Consider the following 20,012-nt stretch of genomic DNA (forward strand, 5'->3'; position numbering starts at 1 on the left):
AGTGGAGCCGTAAGTGAGACAACACAGGACCATGTGGTGCCTACGTCATGAAACCAGGGCAGTGGCAGCGCCGGCCAAAGGCAGCCAAGACACCACAATCGCGATGCCACAATCGCCCCTGATGTCACCACCAACCCTCAGAGCTTCACGGCAGGGACATGGCTCCGACCTCTGAGCCCACTGGTCCCCGGCTCCGACCTCTGAGCCCACTGGTCCCCGGCTCCAACCTCTGAGCCCGCCGGCCCTGGCTCTAACGTCTGTGCTCACCGGGCTCACGGGTGGACACTGGCTGCCAGTGAAGGCCCTCCCCAAGGTCAGGTTTTACAACTTGTCCGGGCACCAAATGTTGCACCTGGAATCTACTGCTTCTGAAGTTTCCAACCACAGAGAGCCAAGCCACAGACAACAGAAGCCTCATTCACACTCCCCCCAGGCAGGCTCCATCCCGCCCAGGGGCAAGTTGCCTGAGCTCTAGAAAGCCCCAACAGTCAGGATGATAAAAATCTAATTCCCATACAGAGAATTAGAGGAGGTTGATGTTCGGAAATCCTCAGCCCTTCTCAGTGCACGGTGGGAGGAACACTCAGGGAATGGCAGCTACTACTGATAAAGAGTACGTGTAATAAAACGTCACAGAAGCGGGAGAGCTTGGCCCTAATGCTGGCATCGCAGCTGAATGCAGCCCCCATGACTGAGGAAAAGTAACTGCTGAGCCAGAGGAGAGGCAGAGGAGACGTGACCAGCAGAAAACACCCACACCTGCTTCTCAAATGTGATCTCTGTGCTCATCCTACAGAGGTGAGAGACACAGTGACTCATTAAACTCCTAAGCTAGTTTTACGGAAAAAACCCTTAATTTCAAAAACTCGTATAGGCCAAGTCTGCATTAAACAAATACAACGTGTGAAAATGAAGCTTCATTGTTTGTAAAATTTTATTTCATAAAATAGCTTGACACAGAAAACCTTTAAGCACATATCCTACAGAACTCAAAGGAGTCCTTTCTTAGAGAAAACAGGTTCCTACACACAGTTTAGTTCTATCAGTGGCTTAACATAAATGTCTGTGTACACAAAACCTGTCTGATGATTTTAATATAAGAAACCAATTGTTTTAATAATGGGGGGTTCTGGTAAATTCCCCACAACTGCCAAAACTCTTTTGGTGAATTTCAGAAAAGCCTCAAGTGTGAGAAACAGAGCAAAAATTAAAAAAATTAAAAAGTTAAAATCGCTTACTTTCATCTCTCATAAAAATCTCCTATCAGTTTAACATAATAAAATCAGCTTTTTTTTGCGGTTTGAGATAAATCTGATTATGGAAATCTAAGTTTGTTAAGTACTTGCTGTAAGAGGCCTGACAACCCACCAGAAACAGATGCCCGCCTGGGGCCAACGCCGCCCTCTCCGCACACACAGGTGCCTTCTCAGGAGCACTGCCACCTTCCTGCTGGGGCCCCTCCTCTCTCTTCCGTCGCCCGCGGGCCCTGCTTCCTCCTCCAGTGTCGTTTCTCATGGTCCCTGGTCACGCTCCTGGTGGGCATCTGTACTCACTGTCCCTGATCTCTCTCCTCCCTGCACTCCGGGCCTTATGGCCCTCTTGAGCCTCAGCTGGAACCTGAGGTCTGACTGGCACCTGCATAGCTGCCCAGCACTGCGCTCTGGGCAGGGCCTCTCACCTCAAACCCTATCTTTCTGGGAGCCCCTCCTCCTCCTCGCGGTGACCTGGTCCTCCCAGTGCCTCACCGGCCACTCGGCAGCTCCCACTGGTTCTACCTCCATGGTCCACCTGGACGTTGGCTACAGCTGCCTAACCTGTGGCTGCACCTTGGTCCACGCTGCAGGCCCCTCTCAGCAGGTCCTCAGCAACCCCAACCTGGTCCATGCTGCAAGTACCTCTTGGCAAATCCTCAGCCACCCCCACCTGGTCCACGCTGCAGGTATCTCTCAGCAGGTCCTCAGCAGCCCCAGACTGGTCTCCATTCTCTATCTCCTCCATCCAGCCTCAAGATAACAGCCCAGAAGCCTCATAGCTTCCAGGAACCTCCTGTCTCTGTCTGCGTAGAAGCCCACAAGGCTCACATGCCCGGGGTCCCATGTGCCTGGTCCTGTCACCTTTCCCCCTTCTGAGACTCACTCAATGCCTCTCGCCCTGTCACGTGCATCCCCTGGTCCAGCCACCGGGCTCCTCCCATGTGCCTGGCCCTGTCACCTCTTCACCTTCTCCACCTTCTGCAACTCACATCCATCCCCTGGTCCAGCCACCGGGCTCCTCGCAGTTCCCAAACACATGGGTTCACCCATCTCAGCGCATGCGCACTTGGCTGCAACAACACCCTCCTCTTCCCGCTCCTCCACAGCCTCATCTCCAGGATCTATCTGCAGCTCTATGACGCATCTCACCGAGTATCTGGCTTCTTTTCCAGCTCCTCAGCTAGGGAGCAAGCGCCCCAGGGTGGGGTCCCCACCAGCCTTCCCCAGTGGTAGGCTGCACAGCCCACAGCACCATGCAGGGCAACACAAAGCCAACAGCTCCTTGACGGATGAGGGCGTTCTGCATGAAGGCAGCTCCTCCAGCACCCATATGCTCTGCACGCTGTGACTCCAGCCTTGTGGTCCCTGCAGCCCCCGGCTCCCTGCACCAGTGCCACGGCATCATCATACCGTGGTTATGTAACTGTTTGCTACCTGGCTTCTCTAACATGCTGGTCTTGACCCCTCAGCAATGTGGTTTCTACGGACAGAAACCACTCCCGACACTTACTCTGAAACTCCCTCCACAAAATCTGCAGAGCCTCCTTCACTCCTTCTCTGGGACGGGTGCCACGGACCCACCTTCACTCCTCCTCTGGGATAGGTGCCACTGACGGGTGCCACGGACCCTCCTCCACTCCTCCTCTGGGACGCCAGCCCTGGGCCAGGTGGGCTGCTCTGCACTCAGTGGTGTGCAGGTGAATGGCTCAACAGCCTGAATTTCTGATTTTCAGCATTTGCAGGTTTCTGTGGCCTGAATACCCTCACCACAGCTTGTGTCACCGCACACGGCATTGGGAAGACATGAGCACAGCTGCTCCAGCACACAACAGTTTGCATGAAAAGGATGCCCGGTGAAGGTGGCAGAAAATAAAAGTCGTCATCACCACGTCAGGGGTTCAATAAGGTACCAGAGAGTTGGAGGTAAGCAAAAATTTACCATCTACCACAGCAGTAGAGGAGAAGGAAAAGAGGAAGAAATGAATTCATTTCTATTTAAACTTAGGAAAATTTGGCTCCAAGAGTTGACAGCTCCCAAGTCCGGAAACTTAGACTGCACATGCATTTCTGCATATATTATGTGAAATATTTTTATATCAAGCAGAGATGCAGGAAGCCTGTTTCTCTCTGGGACTCTATTCTCCCATGCCATATGTGCAGTGTCATATTTTCCAACTCATTGCTGTTTTGGTGGCGTGTAAGTCTTTCAGAGGCAAACCTCGATGAGAGTATCTTAAGCAGGACCTTGAATAAATCGTACGGTACTTACCAGGAGGCATCGTGCAATGTTCTGGGAACATTTCCAGAGCATGCTTCAATCTCTCAGTATCTTGCAGGAGCAGCAGCGTTTTCATGTGGTACAGGATGGACACGTCTGAGGGCAGCATGCTGTGTGACGCAAGGCGGTCCAGCAGCTCCTCAGCGGCATCTGCGAGGGCAGCTGAAGCTGCATCTCTGGAGACACCTACATAAAGTCAGTTTTGCTTGGAAATACAGTTTTGTTTTTATTTCTATAAACTAAAGATAAGCTTTCCTCTCTTAAGGAAGGTCTCAAACCTACGCTTCCACACAGAATGACATATCTGGGAGATGAGAAGCTACCAGAAGAGAGAATCAGAACAGAGCTCAGCACAAAATACCACTGCATGAACGACTGTGGAAACCTGGCCCGTCTACACCTCTGTCTGGTGAGACGCCTCCCCTGGCCCATCTACACCTCTGTCTGGTGAGACGCCTCCCCTGGCCCGTCTACACCTCTGTCTGGTGAGACGCCTCCCCTGGCCCGTCTACACGTCTGTCTGGTGAGACGCCTCCCCTGGCCCGTCTACACGTCTGTCTGGTGAGACGCCTCCCCTGGCCCGTCTACACGTCTGTCTGGTGAGACGCCTCCCCTGGCCCGTCTACACGTCTGTCTGGTGGGACGCCTCCCCTGGCCCGTCTACACGTCTGTCTGGTGAGACGCCTCCCCTGGCCCGTCTACACGTCTGTCTGGTGAGACGCCTCCCCTGGCCCGTCTACACGTCTGTCTGGTGAGACGCCTCCCCTGGCCCGTCTACACGTCTGTCTGGTGGGACGCCTCCCCTGGCCCGTCTACACGTCTGTCTGGTGGGACGCCTCCCCTGGCCCGTCTACACGTCTGTCTGGTGGGACGCCTCCCCTGGCCCGTCTACACGTCTGTCTGGTGGGACGCCTCCCCTGGCCCGTCTACACGTCTGTCTGGTGGGACGCCTCCCCTGGCCCGTCTACACGTCTGTCTGGTGGGACGCCTCCCCTGGCCCGTCTACACCTCTGTCTGGTGAGACGCCTTCCCTGTCCAACACACGACTCAGGGCTACGAACAGCAGCAGGTTAAACCAGACAATGAAAGCAAGCTCTCTATGTCCACATCACATCGCTTAAAAAAAGAATCAGACTGTGGCTGTTTAGAAGAAATCAAGGAGAACTGAAAACAAGCCCCCGACTTCCCCTGGATCTGGCTGCTGGTCTTGTTTCTCTGGCTGCTGTTCAGCAGTATGACTGCAATTCACTTGCCTCTGGTGGTTTCGGCGTTAACCCTGCTTGGACTTGGCAGGACTTCTTCAACCTGTGACTCTGTGTCCTGTAACAATGGTGTAAAACTCCCAAATGTCACATCTCCGTCCTGCCCCCGCTCCGTCCTCTCTCCTCTCCACCTGGGCCTGTTTCAGGGACACAACTTCCCACTCCATGTCTGCCGGGCTCTTTCCTGTGTTTTCCACCCGTTTTCTCTCCACTCTGCATTCTGGGGACTTTCTTTCACCTGTCTTCCTGGTCACTAATTCTCTTTTATACCAACTCTCATTTGCTGTTTCCCTGTCTTTTGAGGCCTGAATTTTAGTTACTATATTTCTCAGGCCTAAAATTTCCATTTGATTATTTTAGTAGATTCAAATTACCTGGCGAAATGCTCCAATTTTTCCTTTTTCCCCTTATTTTAGGCTCCTTATCTGATAACATCGGCCTCTCCCACTGTGGCTCTACTGCTCTTTTTTTCTCGTGGTTTTCGGTGCTGTGGTCCTGTCTCGTGGCATGCCCGGTAAACTGTTGCTGAACGCATAGGAAAGACTGCAGAGGTCTAGGATGGCGACATTTTCCTCTAGAGGGCTCACCCTTTGCTCCGCCAGGCAGACCGAGTAGAGGGGGATCCCCTGGACCGTGCAGGGACTGAGCTGACTCCAGGGTGGCCACACATTTGGGACAGTGTCATCTGCTTCTGGGCTGCCCTGCTCTGCTGGGCTCGAGGGTCAGGCCGATCCTCATCTCATCAGCACCTCAAGATGGCCAAGAGGCTCCTATGTTATTCGGAGGCTCTCTGTGTGGCTTCTCATCTTCCACCCACAGCTTCAGAATTGGGCAAAGGTTCTAAGGGAAGCCATGCAGTGTTGAGTTCTGTTCTCTGACCTCTGAGTCCACCGGCCCCAGCTCCAACCTCTGAACCCCCTGGCCCCAGGTCCAACATCTGAGCTTACTGGTCCCCAGGCTCTGACCTCTGAACCCACTGGCCCCTGCTTCGACCTCTGAGCCCACCGGTCCCCAGGATCCAACCTCTGAACCCGCCGGCCCCTGCTCCAACCTCTGAGCCCACCGGTCCCCCAGGCTCCAACCTCTGCACCTGCCAGCCCCAGCTCCAACACCTGAGCCCACTGGTCCCCAGGCTCCGACCTCTGAACCTGCCGGCCCCTGCTCCAACACCTGAGCCCACCGGTCCCCAGGCTCCGACCTCTGAACCTGCCAGCCCCGGCTCTAATGTCTGTGCTCACTGGTCCCCAGGCTCCGACCTCTGAACGTGCCAGCCCCGGTTCTAATGTCTGTGCTCACTGGGCTCCAGGCTCCGACCTCTGAACCTGCCGGCCCTGGCTGTAATGTCTGTGCCCACTGGTCCCCAGGCTCTGACCTCTGAACCCGCTGGCCCCTGCTCCGACCACTGAGCGCGCTGGTCCCCAGGCTCCGACCTCTGAACCTGCCGGCCCCGGCTCTAATGTCTGCGCTCACTGGGCTCCAGGCTGAGACCTCTGAACCTGCCGGCCCCGGCTCTAATGTCTGTGCTCACTGGGCTCCAGGCTGAGACCTCTGAACCTGCCGGCCCCGGCTCTAATGTCTGTGCTCACTGGTCCCCAGGCTCCGACCTCTGAACGTGCCAGCCCCGGTTCTAATGTCTGTGCTCACTGGGCTCCAGGCTCCGACCTCTGAACCTGCCGGCCCTGGCTGTAATGTCTGTGCCCACTGGTCCCCAGGCTCTGACCTCTGAACCCGCTGGCCCCTGCTCCGACCACTGAGCGCACTGGTCCCCAGGCTCCGACCTCTGAACCTGCCGGCCCCGGCCCTAATGTCTGTGCTCACTGGGCTCCAGGCTGCGACCTCTGAACCTGCCGCCCCGGCTCTAATGTCTGCGCTCACTGGGCTCCAGGCTGAGACCTCTGAACCTGCCGGCCCCGGCTCTAATGTCTGCGCTCACTGGGCTCCAGGCTGAGACCTCTGAACCTGCCGGCCCCGGCTCTAATGTCTGTGCTCACTGGGCTCCAGGCTGCGACCTCTGAACCTGCCAGCCCCGGCTCTGTCTGTGCTCACTGGGCTCCAGGCTCTGCTTTTGGTTTCTCAACCTGTGAGGCTGGTTTTTCTGCCTCTCTGGGCTCCACCAGGTCCTTTCCCCAGACCCTCACCCAACGCCCACACACAGGACTTGCAGATTCCTGAAGACAAGTGGCTGCAGATGTTTCCATGATAATCTCCCCGTGAGGGTTCCAGGAGTTCCATCTTTCTATGAGCTGTTTTCCTGAGTAGCTTCCTGATCCCTTCAACAGGTGTTTCCCATCCTGGCTTTCTGGTTACTCCTGGCATGACTGTTGGTCTGCCCCAAGCTGCTCGATCACACACAGAATAGAAAGTTTACTGAGATCTTTCTGAATTCTGCGTCTACTTTGCAGTGTCTTAGCCATGTCTTCCTGATGTGCCATCTGGATATATGTTTTCAATTTGTTAATACAATCTGCTGAGAAACACGCTAAAGAGGAAGAGGCTAGAGTGCTCTTCGTGTTGAAATCAATCTATTAAAAATGGTACTTCTGCATCTTTGTTAAAATCAGTTACTTACTTCCCAAATTATTACATAGCTGATATTTCTCAATCTTGCTCATAAGAACACCATCAAATGCCTTGCTTAAATCTGGATCTGCTAAACCCACCACATTAACCTGAACCTGCTGGTAACGTCATTGAAAAGACACCTATACCCACAAAAATTAAACAGTATTAAAAAAAATTAAAGAGAAGAAAGCCAGGAAGCCAGCGCACGGTGAGTATCTCTGTTCTGGGGCAGCCACGTGTCCCTAGGTCAGCTGTCAACAAAGCGTAGTGCAGATGTAAGCAAGTGCCATCTGTGACATTAAACCTATGTTTATTTTCCTTATCTTATGTCAGTACAAACAACTGCACAATAATGCATGCTGAGAAATCGTGCATCCGTTCTATGTGGAAGAGAAAATGAAACCTGTCCTAAAGGCGCAAGCTGTGTTTCCTTCACCTCTCAGTCTGCTTATGAAGGTGAGCTCAGCTCATCAAAACCTCCAATCTGGATTTATCTCTTGTTTAGAAAAATAGCCTGGATGCCAACACACTCCAAAACCTGACCTTAGAGGCATGGAGGACACGGGGCCAGCCTGTCCTTGGCACAGCTGGCCAGGGCCACCACACTGCTTCTCTGGATACGCCAGGGGCGCATGCCCATCCACATCATCGGTGGAAAGCACATAAATACTCTGATCTTTGCCTTATAACTAATTATTTACATTGAATATTTTTTACTTATATTAGTTGCCTTACAACTAATTATTTTACATTGAATATTTTTAAAGTATGTTTTAACATTTAAGCATTATATTTGTTTCTTTTAATAAACTTTTAAGTGGATGTCACTATGCAAGAGAAAAACAGTAAAAAACATACCGTCATAAAAATACATTTCCTGTGTTGACTTCAAAAAATTTAGAATACTGTGTGCCTTTTCATTGGTAATTGTATCATCTTCCTCGCTGGCGTCTGCACCGTCCTCCTCCCCGGAGTCTGCACCCTCTTCCTCCCCAGCCCATGTCGGGTCTTCCTCGCTGGCGTCCGCACCGTCCTCCTCCCTGGTGTCTTTACCGTCTTCCTCCCCGGCCCGTGTCAGGTCTTCCTCAATGGTGTCCACACCGTCCTCCTCCCTGGCGTCTTTAACGTCTTCCTCCCCGGCCGGTGTCGGATCTTCCTCACTGGCGTCCGCACCCTCTTCCTGCCTGGCCCGTGTCAGGTCTTCCTCGCTAGCGTCCGCACCATCTTCCTCCCTGGTATCTTTAACGTCTTCCTCCCCGGCCAGTGTCGGGTCTTCCTCGCTGGTGTCCACACCATCCTCCTCACAAGCCTCTCCCACGCCTTCCCCTTCATTGCTGCTGTCCTCGGGCTGGTACATGAAACTGACACCAGCAGCCTTTGCTGCCAAGCCGGCTGCTTTCTTCCTTTTAATTTGCTGTTTCTTTTTCAGTTTCCTTTTTTTATTTTTGCTTATTGTGGTGCCATCTGTGTGCTGTCGCTGAGATTTCTCCTGTAACAGACTCTGCTGTTTCTCTAATTCTGCTTGTTCTATAAGAACATTATTGGGATTTTTAAATTTTTTCTTTGATTTATGCTTCCTAATTCTTCTTCTCTTTGGCTGGTCATGAGGATCCTGATCTGTTAAAAAAATTCAAATATAACAATTTTCAGTACAATGAAACCATAACAAACATATTAGGCTAAATAAATTTTCCATCAGGATCTTGTAGTTTTAGTAGAAAAAGAGTTTACACTATTTACTTCGGTGATTCTCAACTTTACCATCAAAGATCCTAGGACTAACGTAATATAAATTAGCAGTACATACACTCACAGATGCGACAATCATAATATATGGTGTGTTTTGAAGGATGTACAAGTTGTTGCTTTTTTTTTTTTTTTTTTTTTCCTGACACAGACTCTTACTTTGCTGCACAGGCTGGAGTGCAGTGGAACAATCTCGGCTCACTGCAACCTCTGCCTCCCAGGTTCAAGTGATTCCGGTACCACTGCCTCTCCAGTAGCTGGGAGTACAGGCAAGCACCACCATGCCCAGCTAATTTTTTTTATTTTCAGTAGAGACGGGGTTTCGCCATGTTGGCCAGGGTTGTCTCAAACTCCTGGTCTCAAGTGATCCACCTGCCTCGGGCTCCCAAAGTGCTGGGATTTCAGGAATGAGCCATTGCGCCTGGCCAGTTGTTGCATTTTTATAGTAAAATTTCATTTCTATGGGCCTTTCCCTCTATGGGGGGGAAACCCGTATTTCTTTTGTTCTTTTAAAAAATTTATTTTACAATTTAGTCCTTTCTAAAGTTACTTGTGTGTGAGAATAAAAAATAAGTAATGATGATTTGCCCATCTGAGTCAGCATCAGGTTGCGTTTTGACACGAAGCTAAGCTGGACTCCAGGTTGGCAGAAGGTGGTTTATAAATAGCATAGGTTGGTGATGTGCTGGTAAATGGCTAATAACCAGCTCTCGGAAAAGTCCTGAGTCCTCCAATCTGCTCATTTCCCTGGTGTAAATATTTCCCCCGTGGCCGATTTCAAACTACCACTGTGGTGTTGCGGAACAGAAGAGGTAGCACAGCCAATTCTCACAGGCTGAGAGGGGCAGCATGGCTTGAAACGGGCGGCTGGGGAGAGGGTGGGCAGGAAGCACCATGGATAAACCATGGCAGTCTCAACACCTCAGTGAGGACAGAGACGTGGCGGCCCCTCGGCGAGGACAGAGACGCGGCGGCCCCTCGTGAGGACAGAGACGCGGCGGCCCCTCGTGAGGACAGAGACGCGGCGCCCCCTCGTGAGGACAGAGACGCGGCGGCCCCTCGGCGAGGACAGAGACGCGGCGGCCCCTCGTGAGGACAGAGACGCGGCGGCCCCTCGGCGAGGACAGAGACGCGGCGGCCCCTCGTGAGGACAGAGACGCGGCGCCCCCTCGGCGAGGACAGAGACGCGGCGGCCCCTCGTGAGGACAGAGACGCGGCGCCCCCTCGGCGAGGACAGAGACGCGGCGGCCCCTCGGCGAGGACAGAGACGCGGCGGCCCCTCGTGAGGACAGAGACGCGGCGGCCCCTCGGCGAGGACAGAGACGCGGCGGCCCCTCGTGAGGACAGAGACGCGGCGGCCCCTCGGCGAGGACAGAGACGCGGCGGCCCCTCGTGAGGACAGAGACGCGGCGGCCCCTCGGCGAGGACAGAGACGCGGCGGCCCCTCGTGAGGACAGAGACGCGGCGCCCCCTCGGCGAGGACAGAGACGCGGCGGCCCCTCGTGAGGACAGAGACGCGGCGGCCCCTCGTGAGGACAGAGGCGCGGCGGCCCCTCGTGAGGACAGAGACGCGGCGGCCCCTCGTGAGGACAGAGACGCGGCGGCCCCTCGGCGAGGACAGAGACGCGGCGCCCCCTCGGCGAGGACAGAGACGCGGCGGCCCCTCGTGAGGACAGAGGCGCGGCGGCCCCTCGTGAGGACAGAGACGCGGCGCCCCCTCGGCGAGGACAGAGACGCGGCGGCCCCTCGTGAGGACAGAGGCGCGGCGGCCCCTCGTGAGGACAGAGGCGCGGCGGCCCCTCGTGAGGACAGAGACGCGGCGCCCCCCCGGCGAGGACAGAGACGCGGCGGCCCCTCGTGAGGACAGAGACGCGGCGGCCCCTCGTGAGGACAGAGACGCGGCGGCCCCTCGTGAGGACAGAGACGCGGCGGCCCCTCGTGAGGACAGAGACGCGGCGCCCCCTCGGCGAGGACAGAGACGCGGCGCCCCCTCGGCGAGGACAGAGACGCGGCGGCCCCTCGGCGAGGACAGAGACGCGGCGGCCCCTCGGCGAGGACAGAGGCGCGGCGGCCCCTCGTGAGGACAGAGACGCGGCGGCCCCTCGTGAGGACAGAGACGCGGCGCCCCCTCGGCGAGGACAGAGACGCGGCGGCCCCTCGGCGAGGACAGAGACGCGGCGGCCCCTCGTGAGGACAGAGACGCGGCGGCCCCTCGTGAGGACAGAGACGCGGCGCCCCCTCGGCGAGGACAGAGACGCGGCGGCCCCTCGGCGAGGACAGAGACGCGGCGGCCCCTCGGCGAGGACAGAGACGCGGCGGCCCCTCGTGAGGACAGAGGCGCGGCGGCCCCTCGTGAGGACAGAGGCACACTACCCGTGCTGCTGCTCCCTGACAGAAGGGTATCAGATAAGTAACTGGCGCCATGCGGGGGGAACAGAGGGTGTGTGCAGGCCAAGAACAGACGGCACATGGCGCACACGCCCCGCCCCACACCCAAGCCCCGCCCAGACACTGATGGGTAAAGTCTATACCACGGGCGTCTGTGCCACGGCCGGCACACGGCTCCCGGGTGTTGCCCGAGCAGACCTAGAACTATAAAGCTTGCCGCTGCACCACGCCAAGGGCGGGGGTTCAGACAGTTCTCATTTTAGGAAGCGCCTGTTGGAGTTTTCTGAGCTGTGCACCCCATCACAGATTGTGAAGAATCAAGATGAAACAACGTGAGTGAAGTTTGTGAGACACTGTAAGGGCAGATTCCCTATCATTTCCACTCAAGCGCTTTCCCTTCACCTCTGAAATGAGATAGAATACATGAGTTCCTCTTCCACAATGAAGCTCTTCAAAGCGGTTTCCTATTCTCCTCTGTCTCAACAGCCTCAAGCACACCGCCCTCAAAGCCCAGGGCCTGCCCGCATGCTGGACAGGAACCCTGCAGAGGGTGAGCTCCGGGCTCTTCGCCAGCTGCGGACACCGCAAGCTGTGACGCAGTCCCACCCCATGACTCGATAAAGCAGTCGCATCGGTTTCTCTCACCCTGAAAATACAGGAAGTATTTTACCAAGCACCAGCCTCCCCTCTTCATTGGATGTAGACACCCCCCAGCTCTGTTCACGGTCAAACTGAACGCCGCTGTGGAACTGTGAGATGACATTGCTGCCGCTTTGTGGAAGAGAGTTCCCACCGTGTCTTGTTGTGATTGGTATCCGTTCTGCACAGCCTCCACCACCACAGCGTGGCACAGGCTGAAGCAGCTCCGCACACAGTCCCAAGATGAAGCCGCCAAGCCTGAGTCTCCTCGACACCTTCATCTCGCTCCTCACTCACCAGTGGGTGTTTGAATAATTTCATCTGCGAGTGTGTGTTGTTGCTTTTGGGGTCCACTGCGCAGGTCTGACCAACCAGCCTGGTCCAGACGTCTTTGAACAGCAGCCTCTGGGTCTGCCCTGAACACACTGATGTTTAAAACCAACCACGTCTAGGCAATCCATTTTAATTTCCCAGGTTCTGTTAAAAAAAGATGAAATTAAGCCTCTCCTCTTAGGTGTCTATTAAAAAATGTGACTGCCTTCATGAATTTGGAGATAAGTAACACATCGAGTGTTTTCCCACCCACAGGAAGCCCCTCTAGGATGCGACAGGTCACGGGGGCGACCCTCATCACCCAGCAAGAACACTGCGGAATGCTGCTCATCACCCCCCAGGCTCCTCCCGGCACGTCCTTCTCTGCCAGCTCTGTCAGTGCCGCTCATCGCCAGTGTCGTACCCCGGGGTCAGCTTCCCCTCCTAAGACTACAAGACAAACAAATGGTTGCCCTGTTGAGATCGACTGCGCTATTGATCTATTTTTATAAGACTATAAAACAGTAATTTAAAAAGGTGAAGGAGGCAAAAAGGCCATAAAATGTTAAGTTTGTCATATTTTTTTCACATAAATGTGTATGCGTGTACTTTTGAAAAGGAAAAGTTAATATACATTAAAAAAAAAAGAGACTGGACATCCTTTTCTCAGGATGCTCCCTGCAGTTACTCCTTGGGTGGTCTAAGTATAGGCTGCTTTTTTCCTCCCAATTTCTCTGATTTCCAAGTCTAGTTTAAGAGAGGAGGCTTGAAAATCCAGCATCGGGAACACGGAAGTGCCGATACGTCTTGTTGGTGTTAAGAAGGTAATGAAAGGATACTGCACACAACGACATGCAAATCAGTTAATCCGTTAGAAACAGATTCCTGAGAAAAGTACAATTTAGCCAATGGACACAGAAAGAAACAGAAAATCACAATATTCCTGCATCTGTCTTAAAAAATGAGTCTAGTTAAAAATAATCCCACAAAAGAACTTCAGGCTTAGATAGGTTCACCTGTGACTTTTACTAAACATTTAAAGAAAAAGTCTTGGGAGGCCGAGGCGGGCGGATCACGAGGTCAGGAGATTGAGACCATCCTGGCTAACACGGTGAAACCCAGTCTCTACTAAAAATACAAAAATTAGCCAGGCATGGTGGCAGGTGCCTGTAGTCCCAGCTACTCCGGAGGCTGAGGCAGAAGAATCGCTTGAACCTGGGAGGCGGAGCTTGCAGTGAGCCCAGATTGCACCACTGCACTCCAGCCTGGGTGACAGCGCGAGACTCCATCTCAAAAGAAAAGAAAAAGCCAACACATGTCTTACATACCCGTTTCCAGATAGCAGAAAAGATAATGACCCCTGACGACTCCAACGTCCCTCACGGCTCTGGGCCCTCATGGCTCTGACGACCGTCACAGCTCTGGCCTCTTATGATTCTGGCCCCTCAAAGCTTCAGCTCCGACCCCTCACAGCTTTGATCCCTCACAGCTCCTACTCACAGCAAGTGACCCCTTACAGCTCCCATCCCTCAGCAGTGACCTCTCACAGCTCCCACCCCTTACAGCAGTGACCCCTCACAGCTCCGACTCCTCACAGCTCCCACCTCTCACAGCTCTCACCCGTCAAAGCTCCGGCCCCTCACAGCTCCCACCCCTCACAGCACCCACCCCTCAAAGCTCCAGTCCCTCTCAGCAGTGACCCCTCACAGCTCCCAACTCACAGCTTCAGCTCCGACCCCTCACAGCTTTGATCCCTCACAGCTCCTACTGCTCACAGCAAGTGACCCCTCACGGCTTCCACCCCTCACAGCAGTGACCCCTCACAGCTCCCACCCCTCACAAAAGCTCTGGCCCCTCACAGCACCCACCCCTCACAGCTCCCACCCATCACAGCACCCAGCCCTCACAAAAGCTCTGGCCGTCACAGCTCCCACCCCTCACAGCACCCACCCCTCGCAGCTCTGTGAGGCCTCCAGCGTCTCCACTCCCCTGACAAGGGCATTGCAAGAAGGGAGGGCCACGGGCCCATCTCTCCCGTGGATGCTGCTACAAATATTCCATGCAAGATATTCACGAGATTCCAGTCATGTAAAGTGTATGATAAAATCTCAAATCAAACTGCCTCAAAGGAAGAAATCTAAATCGGATACCGGATACCTACAAGAACCCACAGGCAAGGTCATAAGTCATGTTGAAATGCTGAAAGCCTTTTCTCCAACAGGTCCTGTGACATCACTGTGGTCACCTCCACACTGGGGCTCCAGGCAGGGCACCAGGGAGACAACGTGTGCAAGAGCTGGAAGGGAAGAAACGCAGCTGCCACCCCTGTGAACACAGAAGATGCAAGAGAATCCACAGCTGCCACCCCTGTGAACACAGAAGATGCAAGAGAATCCACAGCTGCCACCCCTGTGAACACAGAAAGTCCAAGAGAATCCATAGCTGCCACCCCTGTGAACACAGAAGATGCAAGAGAATCCACAGCTGCCACCCCTGTGAACACAGAAGATGCAAGAGAATCCACAGCTGCCACCCCTGTGAACACAGAAGATGCAAGAGAATCCACAGCTGCCACCCCTGTGAACACAGAAAGTCCAAGAGAATCCATAGCTGCCACCCCTGTGAACACAGAAGATGCAAGAGAATCCACAGCTGCCACCCCTGTGAACACAGAAGATGCAAGAGAATCCACAGCTGCCACCCCTGTGAACACAGAAAGTCCAAGAGAATCCATAGCTGCCACCCCTGTGAACACAGAAGATGCAAGAGAATCCACAGCTGCCACCCCTGTGAACACAGAAGATGCAAGAGAATCCACAGCTGCCACCCCTGTGAACACAGAAGATGCAAGAGAATCCACAGCTGCCACCCCTGAAAACACAGAAAGTCCAAGAGAATCCATAGCTGCCACCCCTCCCCTGAAAACACAGAAAGTCCAAGAGAATACACAGCTGCCACCCCTCCCCGAAAACACGGAAAGTCCAAGAGAATCCACAGCTGCCACCTCCCCCGGTAAACACGGAAAGTCCAAGAGAATCCACAGCTGCCACCCCTCCCCCGAAAACACGGAAAGTCCAAGAGAATCCACAGCTGCCACCCCTGTGAACACAGAAAGTCCAAGAGAATCCACAGCTGCCACCCTTGTAAACACAGAAAATCCAAGAGAATCCACAGCTGCCACCCCATCAACAGGCAAGTGTGTCACAAATGCAGTGGTCACCACTCAGGAGAAAAAGGAATGTGCCACCAACACACACATCATGAGCTGCAACATCCTGACAGTGTGTGAGAGAGCCCAGATCGCCCCGCTGCCCCAGTTCCACACACCACCTGGCCCCACTTCTGTGAGTCCTGGGGTCTGTGAGCAGATCCACTGGGGCTTCCTGGACAGGGCAGAGGGGAGGAAGGGGCAGTCTCAGGACACAAGGAGACCTGGTGGTGACGGACACATTCATTATTTCAACTGTGATAGTGGTCTCAGGGTCATGCTACATGCAGACTCATGAACTGCACACTTTGAACATCAGTGATGCTGCCCAAAGCCACTAAAAAACACCGTATGCCAGAGAGCCAGACTGGATGCATTTGGCAGGCTCTGCCGCACCAGCTTGTGGCCTCTGCACCCCACTTCCCCTGCTGTCAACTGGGGGTTTGACAGCAGCTCCAGGGTCACCCAAATCGCCACGCCCAGAGCCCTGCAGCGCTGCCCAGCCTGAGGAGGCTGAGTCATGGTGGCTACTCCATCCCAGATCTCAAAGTTCCTGATGCTTCTGGACAATGGAGCACTGTAAAAAATAGCTTATAATCTAGCTCACGAGAAAAACAACATCCTCTAACTCTGTCTTATTTAAAACACGTGCCTGCATTTGTGGTGAGACATACCCAGCAGGGGTCACAATAATTTGGCAACTGAGAGAAAAAGATGTTTATGAATGACTTTCATATATGAGATGGAGAAAACCTTCCTTGGGGATTGGAGTCTCATACAAAGAATGCAAGAGTAATCAGAACTTGAAGGAACAAAACGCAAGCAGGATTGCAAAGCAGTGCCCTCCACCTAACATAGACAGAGGGCCTCTGGAGGTCTTGCCACCAGAAGCCACAGAACCCATCCGTTTTGCAATTGTTGAGCTTTGGTTCATTCAGACAGACCTGTTTCTTTGTAATGATGTTTTCACTGTGCTGTTAGGTTTCCTGCCAAGCCAGAAACCATCTCTTAAGCAGAAGCCGCACTTACATCTGGGTGGAAAGATGGCCAGCAGAGACTGCCCGGCTGAGCCTTCGTCAGGCTCCGGAACCTCCTCTGAGGCCCACCTGTGCGCTTCCCTGCAAAATCCAGTCTCAGCAACAAAGTCACTTTCGCAAGGACCCCACCCTTGACACCTGATTGGGCTCCTCACCCCACCACGCCTCGGTGACGTCTGATCGCCCTGTCTGCCTTCATTAAGAATCCTGGTGGGTTGTTTAGCCAGACTCTCCCTCACCTTTGATGTCTCCTCTCAGAAGTTTTCCATCCACCCCCACCCTGCCCCTTGGCTACAGATTCCCACTTTTCCATGATGAGTAGGTCTTGAGCCCAGTCTCTCTGCCCCCGTGTAAAACCCCATTGTGGTGGTCCCTGCACCTAGGGTGATGTCCTGAATGAAGTCTTCCTCACGGTGGTCTGACAGGTGTCTTGACCACCGTAACACAATTATAGTCACAACCTCCCAGCTTCTCAAAGTCTCATCTGAGGGGTCTGCCAAGCATCCCATTCTCAGCTTTAGTGAGGAACACAAGACCCTAAGGAATATTATCCAAAATAAGACAGTTGGCTCAGCAGGTCAAGGGGAAAACAACAGAGGCTTCATCCAAACAGCTCTGAGGCCCTGAGCATGTGCTCTATGCTCTGGCGTCCTGGTGGCTCTGACACGGGCCCTTTTACCCTGTTGCACTGTGACTTCTCCACTCATGCTGCACCCTCCATATGACTTTTCAGAACCACTCCAGAGACTCCAGAATGTCCACATCTCCAGGGCATGTGGGAGGTCTACGCCCTTCACACCCAGCAGCTGAAAGCGATGTGAGGGAACCAGAGGCCGGGCTATTTATAATTGGAGCAGTGCGCTTTGAAAAGCTGCCATCCCCAAAACACACCTTTCAGACACACTAACTTTAAAAGGAGTCACAATGTGTCAAAACTCTCTCTGCTACTATTTGACACCTACATTCTGATGAACTGCTGGAGTAGAAATAGTTAGATAACAAAAATAACCAGTCTTCAGATTCTAATTCTCACAGCTGCACCTTCTTACGTGAAAGTAGGCTAGGCATTTTAAAGGGAATATGAACTTTATTCTAGATTCAAAGCTAGGCTACAAATTGCATCTGATAATTACCCTCAAGCTACCAATGTCCTCTAGGTGCTAAATAAAAAGTAGTAAACTTCTTATCAAGTTGATCTAAACCCTACCTGTGAAAGCAGATCTTTAAAATGTAGTAACATGAAAAGCTTCCAGTTGCTGAGTGTGTTGTTTGCCTAAAATCCAGGAAAATATTTTGTAATAACACCATAGATTGTACTCATTTAGCCAAGGAAACACTGGAGTCTCACAGACGCGGACACTCCGGCCTGCTGAGAAGCATGTCCTGCCCCGGGCAGGGTGGTTTGAGACCCCTGGAGATTCAGGGATGGACAAGCGGTGGCTGTGGCTGGCGTGGACCATGGCAGTTGCTTGCCATGTAGAAGACCTGCCACAGAGAGAGGAATTCATGTTCGGTTTGGCCTTTGAGGATAAAATTCAGACCCAGCAGACAGGGCTTCAGGGAATAAAGGTAGCTCACATGGCTCCTGGGACAGAGACTTCTCCCCAGGGCCTCAGCCACCAAGGACTGCCTGTGAGACGGGGAGCACCCCTCCAGGGTCAGCCGTGAGGGTCAGCAGGTGCCTGAACACCCTCGGAATAAAGAGGACTTGAAGAGTTCCCTGTCACTTTAAAAAAATGGATTCTCGCTCTCTCTCTCTTAATAGATCTGAATCTGGAGCAGTAATTTCCAAAGACAACAAGGGAGGCACAGCCTTGGAGCTGGAAATGTGGCCTCCTCCCCCGGCTCCATGCCAGCTGCAGGACATCATTTAGCTTTTGATTCCAAATGGTACTGAAAGACCATACGGGACCTCAACGTTATAAAAAACTGAGTTGGGCTAAAACACAACAATCTAGATGCTAAAGTTTTGTGATTTTGAATTTGGATGCCGGGCGGTGATCAGGAACCACCAAAGGAAAGGTTGGTTTTCCTCTGGATGTGATCTGCCGCTAAGCTAAACGTCTGCCTTCTGAATACTTACTAAACATGTGGCCAAATACACATTATTTCATAATCTTCAACAAGATTAGTTCCTGAATTCTTCCCTGAGACAGACTTTGATACCGAATTAATGTCCAAATTTTCTAGATTAGTTTTGAATAGGCTTGAATTATACATACTCAAGAAATTGTTCTTATGTTTCATGTTTACATGTTTGAGTCTTAAAAACTGACTTAGTGGAAAAGTAGTTAGTGTCTCACCATAAAACAGCTTGATAGATACTTTTAAAAACAATTCACATTTAGTCATTTTCTATAACTTTCCATAAAATGGCCAACAAAATGATAAAAATTTTATAAGCAATAAAAGTCTTAAAATAGGGCAATAAAGTGCTAAATTCCCTTAAATAAAACTGTCAAAACCATGAGGCAAGTCATTAAGTTAAAATTAGATGCAGGACAATTTTTTTAATTTAAAGAATAGGAAAGTTAAGAAAGTAATTAAAACAGTACAAATGAAGAAAAGCCATTGAATTATTCAATAAATATAAAGCCACAGTAAATAAAAAATTTAAATAGTAAATTTAAATAGAGTAAATGTATCCACAAAAAAATGTTAAAATGAGGTTATATTTGTGTGAGGCTCTGAAACTGTGAAGTGTTTTGTAAATATTCTTCATTGACTTGGACTCGTGACTTTTTGAGTTGAAAACTTAACTAAAACGCTCATTTACTTCACGGGTTTTCAGTGGTACCACAGAGAAGAGGGGGGCTCTGAAGCCTGCAGCTTAATTCCAATTTCTGCCAAGACATCTGTTTACCTCCTGGGGATATCGGGGGAACCAGCCCCCAATATTTCAACATAGGTTCTTTTCTATTTTCCCTAAGCATCGGCCAGTCTGAGAAATAAAGGGAAAGAGTACAAAAGAGAGAAATTTTAAAGCTGGGTGTCCGGGGGAGACATCACATGTCAGCAGGTTCCGTGATGCCCCCTGAGCCCCAAAACCAGCAAGTTTTTATTAGCGATTTTCAAAGGGGAGGGAGTGTACAAATACGGTATGGGTCACAGAGATCACATGCTTCACGGGCAATAAAATATCACAAGGCAAATGAGCAGGGCAAGGTCACAAGGCCAGGGCGAAACTAGAATTGCTGATGAAGTTTCATGTTCCACTGTGCATACATTGTCATTGATAACAGGGTTCAAGAGCAGAGAACCGGTCTGACTAGAATTCACCAGGCTGGAATCTCCTAATCCTAGCAAGCCTGGGGGCGCTGCAGGAGA

General features: G+C 52.4%; 1 protein-coding gene across 29 annotated transcripts in view, besides 1 other annotated feature; it reads right to left on the reverse strand.

Annotated features, from left to right (window-relative positions):
* Positions 1-20,012, reverse strand: part of ERICH1 (glutamate rich 1) — a 116,479-nt gene that overhangs the window by 50,330 nt on the left and 46,137 nt on the right. For 12 of the 29 annotated variants that reach the window (XR_007060706.1, XR_007060709.1, XR_007060708.1 and 9 more), the window contains exons 4-6: positions 8,214-8,972; positions 6,947-7,129; positions 3,523-3,717 (exon numbers count right to left, since the gene is read on the reverse strand). Coding sequence is in view for 17 of the 29 variants with exons in the window: in XM_047421399.1 (XP_047277355.1) it covers positions 3,523-3,717; positions 6,947-7,129; positions 8,214-8,972 (1,137 nt within the window). In the remaining 12 variants the exon portion in view is untranslated. The other 17 variants (XR_007060715.1, XR_007060714.1, XR_007060710.1 and 14 more) reach the window with 6 other exon arrangements.
* Positions 167-336: an enhancer, noted in NCBI's record as "active region_26945". NCBI's record gives its function as "activates an Ori minimal core promoter by ATAC-STARR-seq in GM12878 lymphoblastoid cells {active_cell/tissue: GM12878}" and the evidence as "EXISTENCE:reporter gene assay evidence [ECO:0000049][PMID:35858748]".

Source organism: Homo sapiens, chromosome 8 (genome assembly GCF_000001405.40).
Source record: "Homo sapiens chromosome 8, GRCh38.p14 Primary Assembly".
Classification (NCBI taxonomy): domain Eukaryota; kingdom Metazoa; phylum Chordata; class Mammalia; order Primates; family Hominidae; genus Homo; species Homo sapiens.